Genomic DNA, 12,660 nt, shown 5'->3' on the forward strand with positions numbered 1-12,660 from the left:
TTTAATAGTACCTCCTTTTATTCTGATATGTATCCTTCTTTGTTGATCAGTTATAGAATCACCTTATTTGTAGGTGGTTTGCTTTCTGTTTTTTTTTTTTTTCTTTTTTTCTTTTTTTGAGACAAAGTTTTGCTCTTGTTGCCCAGGCTGGAGTATAGTGGCAGGATCTTGGCTCACTGCAACCTCCCCCTCCCGGGTTCAAGCGATTCTACTGTGTCAGTCAGCCTCTCTAGTAGCTGGGATTACAGGCATGCGCCACTATGCCTGGCTAATTTTGTATTTTTAGTAGAGATGGGTTTCTCCTTATTGGTCATGCTGGTCTCGAACTCCCGACCTCAGGTGATCTGCCTGCCTCGGCCTCCCAAAGTGCTGAGATTACAGGCGTGAGCCACCATGCCCAGCCAGCCTTTTGTTTTTTTAGGAAGATTTGAGGATATTCTTATACTCTGAGCTTTGAGAATTTACGTGGCTCTGTCTAGAAGTCAGTTATTTTTTCCCTCATTCATCTGCCCAGTCCTTTCAAACTGAAGACTAGTATTTATCAGCTCTGGGATATTATATTGCAGTGTGCTTTAGGAATTTCTGCTTGCAAAATGCTTCAGGAATTTTTGCCTCTTTGTTCTTTTTTTCTATTTCTGGAACTCCTTGTAATGGAACTTGAATCTCTTGGATTAATTTAACACCTTATTTTTTAAAATGAGAATTAAATTTTCTATATTCTACCCCTTGCTTTTGCTCTTCTTTATCTGGAAAAGAGTCTCCACCTCATTTTCTGACACTTGTATTGACTCCTTAATTTCAGCTGCTATTAATTTCAAAGAACTTTTTCTTATTTTTATTCCTTCTGTTAATATATAGCATTGCATTCTTGTTTCATAGATGGCAATAGCCTCTCTTATGCCTTTGAGAATATTACATAGACATATTTTAAAATTTCCCACATTTCCTACATTGTCTGTTTCCACTGAGGCACTTTTTGTCTGCTGTTTGTCTCTTTCTTTGATAGTGATGGTTTTTCACAAATATCTGGTGATTAAGAACTTTATCTTCTGTCTGGATTTTGAATTTTTAAATGGTTTTCCTGTTTCTAGTTTCTTTTTCCACAAATAAATTCTCAACATTTGGCACCAGGTTTAATATTATGAAACAGATCCGAGTATGTCATCCCCCTGCTAATAAAAGTTAGAAGACTTTTAAGAGATCTGGATAATGTTTCAACCACTTAGGGCAGCAAACATTCACAGTGGCAGTGAGGCATTTGTCTTCTAGGGCCACTGCAACAAATCACCACAGACTGGGAGGCTTAGAACAACAGAAATTTATTCTATTAATGTTAATAGAGACCAGAAGTTCAAATCAGTGTTACTGGGTTGAAATCAAAGTATCAGCAGAGCTTTGAAGGCTCCAGGGAAGAACCTGTTCCTTGCCTCTTTCAGTTCTAGTGGCTGCTGGCATTCCCTATTATCAGTCCAATCTTTCAGGCCAGCATCTTCAAATCTCTCTGCTCCATCTTCACGTCACCATCTCCTTCATGTGTGTCCAATCTCCTTCTGCCTCTCTATTTATAAGGACATTTGTGAGGGCATTTAGGGACCACTGGGTAATCTAGGGTCTTTTTCCAAATAAGGTAACATTTGTAGATCCTAGGGATTAGGGCCTGATAACCTTGAGGTCCTTTATTCAGCTTACTACAACTACTTAGAGTCTTCTGAAATTTCTCTTTTCTTGTACAGTTCCCTTCGCGTTTACAAATAATTGTTATTATTGCCTGCAGTTATTGTCTGCTTGAACAAAAATACATGCATCAACTCAGTTTATAGTGATTTCCTTGACCTTGTCTTCTCCACCCTAGACAAAAGGCTGCAATTGCCTGTTTTCCTAATGCAGCTGATGCACTTCTCATAGTTTTTGCCACGTTAAAGTGATTTGTCAGGCTCTACCACTGACTAGGAATTTTCTTTTTTTTCAGTACTATGGTGTCATTCTTAGAATGCAAAGTGTCGGGTCTGGAGCTGAGTAAGGCATTTAATAAATATTTGTTGAAGAGATTTTTAACATTTATTGAGGGCCAATTACATACCTAGTAGGACCTGTCACCTTGGGCCATTTAATAAAGTAGGGTAAAGTAAGCATGGCACATAAGTTTCCCCAGGGCATATTTGTCAAAAGGGATTGCTGGGTCATAGGAGTCTACATTTTCAGCTTTTGCTAGATGCTGCCAAATTGCTCTCTTAACTGGCTGTACTTCCGTAAGAGTGCCAAGATCTATCTTGTTTGCCATATCTTTGCCAACACTTGTGAATTTTTTTCATTAAAAAAATTTTAATGTAGGAAATGATACTGTTTTAATTTGTATTTCCTTGATAATTAATGAGGTTAACCATTTTTAATAGGTAATAAACAATGTGGAATTTTCTGTTAATATACATAGCCTGCTTTCTCCTGTTGCTCTTTTTTATTTATAGAAATTCTACAACTATGGATATGAATTATATATAGCACTGTTCTCTTTTACATGTGAGGAAACTGGCACAAGAAATTATTAATAACAAGAAGATTTCTAAGTTATTTCCCCCCTGGATGAATAGATGCATGACCTTGTCTGGAGTCATAGCTAATAAGAAACAGCAGGGATTTTGAACCCAGTAGTATCTGAGTTTAAGGTCTGTCCTTTTTTTTTTGAGACAGAGTCTCGCTCTGTCACCCAGGCTGGAGTGCAGTGGCATGATCTCGGCTTAACGCAACCTCTGCCTCCTGGGTTCAAGTGATTCTCCTGCCTCAGCCTCCAGAGTAGCTGGGACTATATGTGCACGCCACCACACCTGGCTAATTTTTGTAATTTTAGTGGAGTTGGGGTTTCATCTTGTTGGTCAGGCTGGTCTTGAACTCCTGACCTCAGGTGATCCACCCGTGTCAGCCTCCCAAAGTGTTGGGATTACAGGCGTGAGCCACCATGCCTGACTTTAAAAAAAAAAGTTTATTTATTATTTTACTTTAAGTTCTGGGATACATGTGCAGAACGTGCAGGTTTACATGTATACGTAGGTACACACGTGGCATGTTGGTTTGCTGCACCTTTCAACCCATCATCATCTAAGTTTTAAGCCCCACATGCATTAGGTATTTGTCCTAATGTTCTCCCTCCCCTTACCCCACCCACCTACAGGCCCAAGTGTATGATGTTCCCCTCCCTATATCCATGTGTTCTCATTCTTCAACTCCCACTTATGAGTGAGAGAACGTGTGGTGTTTCTTTTCTGTTCCTGTGTTAGTTTGCTGAGAATGGTGGCTTCCAGCTTCATCCATGTCCCTGCGAAGGACATGAACTCATTCTTTTTTATGGCTGCAAGGTCTGTCCGTTTTTACAAAAATTAATAACAAATTAAAAGTTAATGAAGCAGTGGTATGTTGAATTAAGTGATTCAAAAAAACTTAGCTTTTAGCTCTACTTGTTAATATATTCTTAAAAATAACTATATAATGACTGCTAACCTGTTTGCTTCGCAGGTGATAGAGAAAATCATTGAAAAAATTTGAAAGTGTTTTTTAAAAACAATGTATTAATATCACCACATATACATCTTAATACTTATTCTTTATCATCATCATGAGTAAATGAACGCAGCCTTTATAGTATACTTTTTGAGTTTTGGAAATACCTTATTTTTTATAATAGAGTTTATTTTTTAGAGCAGTTTTAGGTGTACAGCAAAATTGAGAGGAAGGTGCAGAGATTTCTCATATACCCCTTCCCCTACACAGGCATAGCCTCCCTCTTTATCAACATCCCCCTACCTCCCCAGAGTGCTACATTGGTTATAACTGATGAACCTACATTGACACATCGTTATCACCCAGAGTCCATAGTTTACATTAGGGTTCACTCTTAGTACTGTACCCTCCGCAGGTTTTAACAAATATATGATGACATGTATCTACCGTTATAATACATACAGAATAGCTTTATTGCCCTAAAAGTCCTTTTGTGCTCTGCCTATTCATCCTCCTCTGTGCTCTAACCTCTGGCAACCATGGATCCTTTTACCATCTCCATAGCTTTGCCTTTTCCAATATGTCATATAGTTGGAATCATACAGTACATAGCATTTTCAGACTGTCTCCTTTCACTTTGTAATATGCATTTAAGTTTCCTTCATGTCTTGTCATGGCTTGATGGCTCATTTCTTTTCAACACTGACTCATTTTCCATTGTCTGGATGTACCACAGTTTATATATCCATTACTTTGTTGAAAGATATGTTGATTGCTTCCAGCTTTTGGCAATTATGAATCAAACTGCTATGGACATGCATGTACAGGTGTTTTTGTAGACATATTTTCAACTCTTTTGGGTAAATACCAAGCACTGTGGTTGCTGGATCATATATTTGGAGTATGTTTAGTTTTATATGACACTGTCAAACTTCCGTAGTGGCTGTACCATTTTGCATTCCCACCAGCAATGAATGAGAGTTGCTCCACATCCTTGCAAGCATTGGGTGGTGTTAGTGTTTTGGGTTTTGGGCATTCTTACTGGTGTGTAGTGTGTGTACTATATGTTTTTGAAGAAAAGTTACATGATAAAAATTTTGTTTGCTAGCGTGATAGGTTGGTGTTTCCAGAAAAACTCACCGGAAACTTTTCATGTGAGGTTTAGAAGTAAAATAGTTCCAGGAAAAAGTTGGCATTCGGCTCTGATTAACTAGAATATGAGTAGTAATGCTTGTCTTTTTTATGTTTGTTTTGACAGGTTTTGACACAAGGGCGCATATCTTCAAAGCACCTAGTACCTCCTACCATTGTCAACTGGTAAAATATTTAATTTTTTATTACAATAGATTTCTTTTATTTGTTATAAAATAAATATTAAGTTAAAACCAATTATGGCTAAATTGACCAAAAAATTGTAATTCTCATTTTATGATTATATATGGAAGATAGTTTTATATTTACTTTAATTCTGTATAAATCAATTGGGACATTAAACCATGTCATTGAGCAGTATTGTCTATCTTCCTTTCCTTAACTTGAATTTCACTAAGTATCTGCAAGGGATTTGAACTCAGTGGCCTCTTTATTTTGGATAGTTTAGCATGAATTAGACCATTTTAATATGTGATGGTCATTTAAAATTTGTATGAATGTTACTGTAAATTTCTAACTGGACATTTTAGTAGAGATTGTAGTTTCAAGGGCTTTTTGTCAACCCATAGAAGGTTCTGCATGGTTATTACAGTTGTCATGGGGCATAAGAAATATAGCACAATTTTATTCTTTCTGTGTCATCTGAAGTGAATTAGAGTTTATGAAATTTTAGGGCAAAAATTTAAGGACGAAGGTTTTTAGCGTTCTGTGAAATGAAAAAATTGAGTAGGACTGCTGTAGGGAATAGTCTATGTTGGTAAAGTGCTTTGATGATGACGTAAAGGCAGTAAGCATTTTATCCATTAGAATCATGATAGTTGACATCCTTCTTTTCAGAATCTCATTTCGAAGTCTTTTTTCATATCAGTTGAATTTATTAATCTTAACATTTTTAACTGATTTTAAAAGGAAATCACACAAGTAATATGTTTATTATTAAAAACTGTAAGCAATGTAGGAGCATCTAAGTAAACAGGAAACTCCTATGTTACCCTGGTTCTTTTGCTAGGGATTATCCCTTATTTTCATAGAGTGTATCTTTCCAGACGCTTTGTTTGCGACGCTTTGTTTGCGTATCCAAGATTGCCATCTTTTAATGAAGTAGATGTGATGGAAAAAGGAATATACTTTGTCCACTTTAATAGTACGCCTCACTTTGTTTTAGACATGTCTGTGCCTGCGTCTCTTTGAGGGATATACGTGATCAAATTAAGAGTGCTTTTGAAGTGACTAGGTAAACCCATTGTAACACAGTACTCCTCTACAAATTTCTTTTAGTAGTTAATGGGTTATGGGAACTCCAAACTTTGAATTCTTAGCTAAGAATGCATCAAGAGAGTTTAGCAGATTTACAATAAAATTGAAATTGCAAAGATAATTATGACATATTAAATGATAGATTTTAAATAGGTAGACATTTATAGAAATGACTGTAATTACTGTTGAGGATCAGCTAGGTTTGTGTAGGTGAAGAAGTGGTTTTGGAGCTTCAGTGCATTTATGTGTGCTCAGTAGGGTACTTAGGATATTTGAGGAGGGAAAAGGCCGTCAGAAACTGATGTGGGAGGGTGGTGCACAGGAAGAAGTACTATGGTACAGTGACAAAGATAACTTTGTCATAATTTTGCCTAAAAAGAGAAATAAGACTCGTAGTCATGTTATATAGGTTAACTGTGCGATGAAGTAAAGGGAATGTCATGAACTACTTGGGAAACCCAGTGTCTTGAATCCCGAAACTTAGAACTCAACCTTTTCACGTTTGGGAATTGCTTATGTTCAGAAGTCCCATGATTTAAGAGATAATGTAAAAATGGAAGTTAATTCACATTTGTACGTGTCCTTTGTGTGATTGTCGGATTGAAACATTTTAAACTTCTTAAGAAATGTAGCGAAGCAAATTTGGATTTGTATGTGAAAGTGACCTAGATGAGAAGTATGGAAGGAGACGGAGACAGCAGCAAGTTTGCTCCTCCCTTGGTTTCAGAGGAAAATGGTTTTTAAGAGCTGGGCCAGATGTTTCTCATAGCTACTTAAGGTGGATTCCTTTTTTCTGTGTCTTCTGTTTTTAAGTGTAATCTGGTTTTTGAGCACTTGCAGAAAAGCTGCAGAGGCCAGGGAATGACACAGCAGAGAATGGAGGTGAGAGGGAAGACAACTGGTGATCTTAGTTGCTTTGATTTTGAAATATGTTGTTCAGGAATAGCTTTTCTTAGTGGTAAAATAATTGGGAATTTGTAGGAAGAAGAAAATATGTTGTAAAGAATTTAAAGATAAAAAAGCAAGTAATATTTGAATACAACACAAGACTATTGACTAAAGGAAGTAATCGGATGTTTAAACCTTATTTTTAGCTACTTAACCTTTACATAGTACAAATGAAGACAATATGTTAATTGTGATGCAGGTTATTTATTCTGTATATTTCCACAACATACTTTTAAGTTCTAATTATATGTTATTTTCCTTTTCTTAACTTTGTTTTTTTAGCTGGTCCATGCAGACTACAGATAAGAAACTGGGCTTTTGGGGGTGGGAAGGGGAGTGGAGGAAGAGAAAAGGAAACATCTAAGTAATCTTACTGAATGATATATAAATCGTTGAAATTAAAGAAAATATATTCTGGGTAGACTTAGCTTGCAAAATTATTTTAAGCTATTGTACCTCTTATAAATGGAATAAGCATTTTAAAATCATCTTGAAAATCTTCAGAACCTTTAATTCTTTTACATTCTCAAAGGTTAAACATAACCGGAAGAGCTGTCTTCTCTCAAATATGCATACTTTGTTCATTAGATTTACTTTTGCTAACTTTTTTTTTGTATGTTTGGAACTGTTATATTTTTCCTCTGGCCTTTGAATTTTCTTTAATTTTATTTTTTATTTCACCCTGGGGGAAAGAGAGGTGGGTAGATTTGTTTGTTTGTTTGTTTATTTTTGAGACAGAGTCTTGGTCTGTGGCCCAGGCTGAGGTGCAGTGGCGCAATCTTGGCTCACTGCAACCTCTGCCTCCCAGACTCTGGTGATTCTTGTGCCTCAGCCTCCCAAGTAGCTGGGATTACAGGTGCGTACCACCACACCTGGCTAATTTTTATATTTTTTAATAGAGACGGGGTTTCTCCATGTTGGCCAGGCTGACCTTGAACTCCTGGCCTCAAGTGATCTGCCCACTTCAGCCTCCCAAAGTGTTGGGATTACAGGCGTGAGCCATTGTACCTGGCCGAAAAGAGGTATATTTAAAAGTGAATTTGTTACTTCAACTAACACAACCTTCACTTAAAAATTAGGCTGTCTGTTCACTCTCCTTAGTACAGGTTCATGTAATGCCAAATGTAGTACGTAGCTGGATTGAGTTGGAATTATGAAGATCCTCAAATATTCATGAGCCAGGTTGATGTCATTAAGTAATCCAATAGTTCATGTTCTCCTGAAATACTTATATAGCTGGCTTTCTCATTAATCATTTTGTAGGAAATGATTGGAATAAATAAGGAGTAGTACTGAAAAGAGTAAAGAATCCTATTCAGTATTGTCTTAATCAGTTTTGGGAACCCTAGGCATCAGTAGAATATAGTCTTAAAATCGATCTAGTTGAACTGCATCAATATTAATGGTGAACAAATTAAGATTTAGTGACCTGCTCAAGATCTCTTAGTAATTGGCAGCAGAGCTCAGTCTAGTCTAGTGTATGTGTTTATGCACATATGCATGTGTGTATATGTATTTAAAATCCCTGTTGTGTATCTAACTGAAAAAGATATATATTCCTTTGCCTGATTTCTGTTTCCTGTTGATTTTTATCTAGAAGAGGGATAAAAGCTGTTTTTTAAAGAAATAGTGGGTCTTGATCAGTTTTGGGGAAATTGAGGGGACTGTATTTATAGTTTAGGGAGAGTACTCAAGAGTCCTACTGTTATTTCCGCTATCATACTAATAGGACTGAAACAATTTTAAAATTACACTGGATAACTGAAACTTAAAAAGTTGGCTTTGTTAAACTGCTTTTTCATGTAGATATATTCATGGGAAAGACTTGCTATAATAAATGTTCCTCCCTCTCTCCTTTCCAATGTTTATCTTTAATGCCAACATTTCATTTTCTGAGGTTAAAATAAATATAGGCTTTATAGTTTTCTTAAAAATAAAATACCAAATTATTATTTCCTCATAAAACTTCCTAGTTGTAAAGTGGAACTTTTTATCTAATCCAGATAGTAATATGACTAAACCTTCTAATAATGTTTTTAATTGATTTCCTGTCCAGAATCTTTTCGACAATTTTATTTTTGTATTAAGGAGGTTCTTGCATGGATTAATGATCTCGATTTCAGCCCTGTAGTCATTGCGATGTCATACATTGCAACTGTGTGGGCATAGTTGAAATCTTTGAAGTTGTTGAAAGATTGTGTTAGTATTTGAGGATTTGGAGAGGAAAAATTCTTTGTCTTTACTAAATACATAAGAACCACTGTATTACACATAATAAGTTAGTCTGTGTGTTGTTGATATTTGTAAGAATTTAAAACAACTGTCCTACTTTTAGGTCTGCTTTTTTTCGGGAGGGAGGCAGCAGGATATATAGTAAGTAAATGTTTTAAAACCATTCTCTTGAACTAGGTATCTAGGTATGTATTTTTATTATGTGTTTAGCTTTGGATGCCTGAGAAGCAAACATGTTTGTGAGAACCAGGGTGCCCCTCTAAAAAAGAAACTCTTTCCCGATAGTAAATAATAGTCTCTGGTTGCACTTTCCATTATAACTCTGAGAGATTAATTCTGGGTAGGAAATAGTTCTTTCTGCCCTTCTTGACCCTGGTTTCCTATTTCATAATACATGATTTGCGTCATTCATCTGGGACTCTTAAGTCTCTGTAGAGTGTGTATGACTGTCACCTAACTTTTGTGGAAAGGAGACTCTCAAAAGTAGTGTATTAAAGGATACTTTTTTCTCCCCAACAATAAGGTATTAACTATAGAATTTATTAAGAGAGTATAGGGTCATTAAAAAGTTTGGACATGCCTTGGAGAGACATGTAGGTTAATATCCTACCTTACCTGCTAGCTGTAAGTGCCTTTGGGGACAATCTATTTGAAATTGGGTTTTGTGAGAATTAAATGAGATAACATAAAAAGTTCCCTTCACTGTGCTTGTTTGCCTGCACTCAGAATTGTTTCCCATTTATTGCAAGCTTGGTGAAAAATTCCAGCCACATTTCATACTAGCAAATACGGATTCCTTGATATCCAGCATTGTGCAAGCCACTCATTTATACTTCATTAGAGATAAAATGCTAAGCCATATTATTATTATTGTTATTTGCAGATATGAACAGTTGTATAGTATTGGTGCCTGAGTGTGGTAGGCTGAAAGAAAAATACAGAGGAGGAAATCAGATTGAGTGGTGGGCAGGATTAACTGAGAAGTAAATTGTGGCATATCAAGATGCACCGTCTGCAGTATTTTCTCCTTTTCTGTCCTCTCTTCCCCCTGTCCTCATCCTCTGCTGCCTTTGACTTTGTGGGAGCATTTCTAAGTGTTGGGGCTCTCTGCCTGCTCTGCAAGTTGAGTTTTCAGATTCCTTTTCATGATGGTGGTGGATGTGAGGGGCATAAAATGTCTGCTTGCTCTGTCAGTAGGGTGTGAATATAATACCATTGTTGACTTCTTCCCTCCTTAGACAGTGTACATGTCTTAGATTCTGAGAGTGACTCCTGTTTTCTTTGTTCAGTCCATGAGTTTTGTGGAGGTTAATTTCACAGGTCTGCCAATTTTGGGTTGAGTTACCATGTTGTATCTCTCTTGCGCCTAAGAGATTCTTGAAACCCCAGATCTAAGCAGGTAGAACCATTTGATACGTTAGTCTGAAAGTGATCCCTGTGGCAACCTACTTTTTTCCTGTTTTTCTCTTAGGAAAACACGTCATCTCTGATAGAAGATTTTCTTCCTTCTCTTTTCTTTTCTCTTTTTCTTCCTTCTCTCTTCTCTTCTTTTCTCTCCTCTCCCTTCCCCCGCTTTCCGCCTCCTTTCCCTCTCCTTCCCTTCCCACCTCTCCCCATCCCTCCTCTGCCTCTTCTCACCTCACAGGGTTGTTTTTTCTCACAGGGTTTCTTTCTTTCTGACTTTGTCTTTTCACAAAGTCTTGCTCTGTTGCTCAGGCTGGAGTGCTTTGGTGTGATCACAGCACACCACAACCTCAACCTCTGGGCTGGAGAGATCCTCCCACCTCAGCCTCCATTGTAGCTGGGACTACAGTCATGAGCCACCGCTCCCGGCAAGAAGCTTTCATATGAGCATTTGTAGCAATTTTTGTTTTGAAAAATTGGGAGTTGTTACAGGGCATTTGACTATGATATTAATAATATTATTTAATAGCAATTTTTAACATAAAATTTTATTTTAACATCCACTTCATACCTTTTGGAAGTATATCATTTGAAAGTGATTTCCTGGCTGATGGTTAAGCTCCGTTACTTTACTTACATTTGTTTCATAACACAAGATCTGAATAACACAAAATCCTGTCTGGTCTCCTTTTCCTTCAGTCTTTCCAAGTCACCTGTGTTCTTCCTCTCAAATAATAGAGGTCATACAGAGAAGAGATCTTCCTTGTGCTTGATCATTCTGATTTAAAACAATTGCTAATTAAAATATAAGATGTAAATAACTCTTTGATCTAATGCAACTGACCATTGGCATAGAACATTTTAAAAAACACATTTCAAGTGTTTGAACCTAGCTATTTATCACACAATTTTATATTTCAAGATTTTGTTTGCTCATCTTTATTGTATAAGTAGTAATAGGTCATTTTCTTTTAATGCTGTTAAACTTAATTCATCTTGTTATTTTAATTAGCAGTTGTGAGAGTTTAGTGAAGTTGGGAGTTGTTAAATTCTTCATGGTGAAAGATTAATGGACTTAGACCTGCATTTAAATATTCAGGGATAATTTCTTAAAAACCTTGACTTGCCTATATCTTTTTCTGTAGTCAGGCATGAAGCCAGGCATGCCCGTGTATACATTCTTCTCAGTTGGCAAGGTATCATAGAAGTTCTTCTAGGTCAATGCATGTACATGTAGCTTACTTTTAATGGCTGCATAATAGTCTGTTCAATGGGTATATATGTTTTTCAGGCATTCTTTGATTAATGAATCTTTAGATCATTTTCTATTTTTGGTTTTTTGCCACTGAAACAGTACTGCCATGTCTCCCAGGTGTGTGTGTGTGTCTTTCCAAGTTTTATCTTCAGACTATGTTACTACTAGTTGCAGTTAACTACTCATCCCCAAATCTGTAAATATGTCTTCCTGTGACCCTGACACTACTCTGTCGTGATTCTTAGTGATTTCAATATCGTTCTAACACTGTGGTCTTATTATTTCATACTCCAGCCTGCCTTTGCTATTCCTTTTCCATGACCATTCATTCTGCCACTCTCCTAGATGACTATTTTATACTTTCTCCTTAATTTTCTAATACCTTCCTTTCTGCCTCCCTCACATCCAATGATTTTGCTTATTACTCTGAGAAAATAGAAGCACCCAGAAGAAAATCTTCTGCAAGCTCCTATTCCTGCACATCTGTGTCCCTGTTTCTCCCACCCTCTCTCCTCCTCCAGAGGTGTGGCTCTCTTCTGCATAATACTTTCCTCTGCTGGTTCATAGCTATCAGTCTGCAGACAAGCTCTACTATTTATGTTAAAAACAAAAGAACCTCTTTTGTCCTGGCCTGTTACCATTACTTTGTTCTTTTTTTTTTTTTTTTTTTTTTTTTTTTATTGATCATTCTTGGGTGTTTCTCGCAGAAGGGGATTTGGCAGGGTCATAGGACAATAGTGGAGGGAAGGTCAGCAGATAAACAAGTGAACAAAGGTCTCTGGTTTTCCTAGGCAGAGGACCCTGCGGCCTTCCGCAGTGTTTGTGTCCCTGGGTACTTAAGATTAGGGAGTGGTGCTGACTCTTAAGGAGCATGCTGCCTTCAAGCATCTGTTTAACAAAGCACATCTTGCACCGCCCTT

At 36.9% G+C, this 12,660-nt stretch overlaps 1 protein-coding gene across 4 annotated transcripts in view, besides 1 other annotated feature; it reads left to right on the top strand.

The window, feature by feature from the left end:
* Positions 1-12,660, top strand: part of ACSL3 (acyl-CoA synthetase long chain family member 3) — an 83,604-nt gene that overhangs the window by 22,044 nt on the left and 48,900 nt on the right. For 2 of the 4 annotated variants that reach the window (NM_004457.5, NM_203372.3), the window contains exon 2: positions 4,751-4,809. The exons of the other annotated variants lie outside the window; for them this stretch is intronic. The gene's annotated coding sequence lies outside the window, so the exon portion shown is untranslated. The remainder of the gene's footprint in view (positions 1-4,750; positions 4,810-12,660) is intronic. 4 annotated transcript variants of the gene reach the window in all.
* Positions 12,189-12,389: a silencer, noted in NCBI's record as "peak4046 fragment used in MPRA reporter construct". NCBI's record gives its function as "represses an SCP1 promoter by STARR-seq MPRAs in K562 erythroleukemia cells {active_cell/tissue: K562}" and the evidence as "EXISTENCE:reporter gene assay evidence [ECO:0000049][PMID:32103011]".

Source organism: Homo sapiens, chromosome 2, assembly GCF_000001405.40.
Source record: "Homo sapiens chromosome 2, GRCh38.p14 Primary Assembly".
Lineage (NCBI taxonomy): Eukaryota > Metazoa > Chordata > Mammalia > Primates > Hominidae > Homo > Homo sapiens.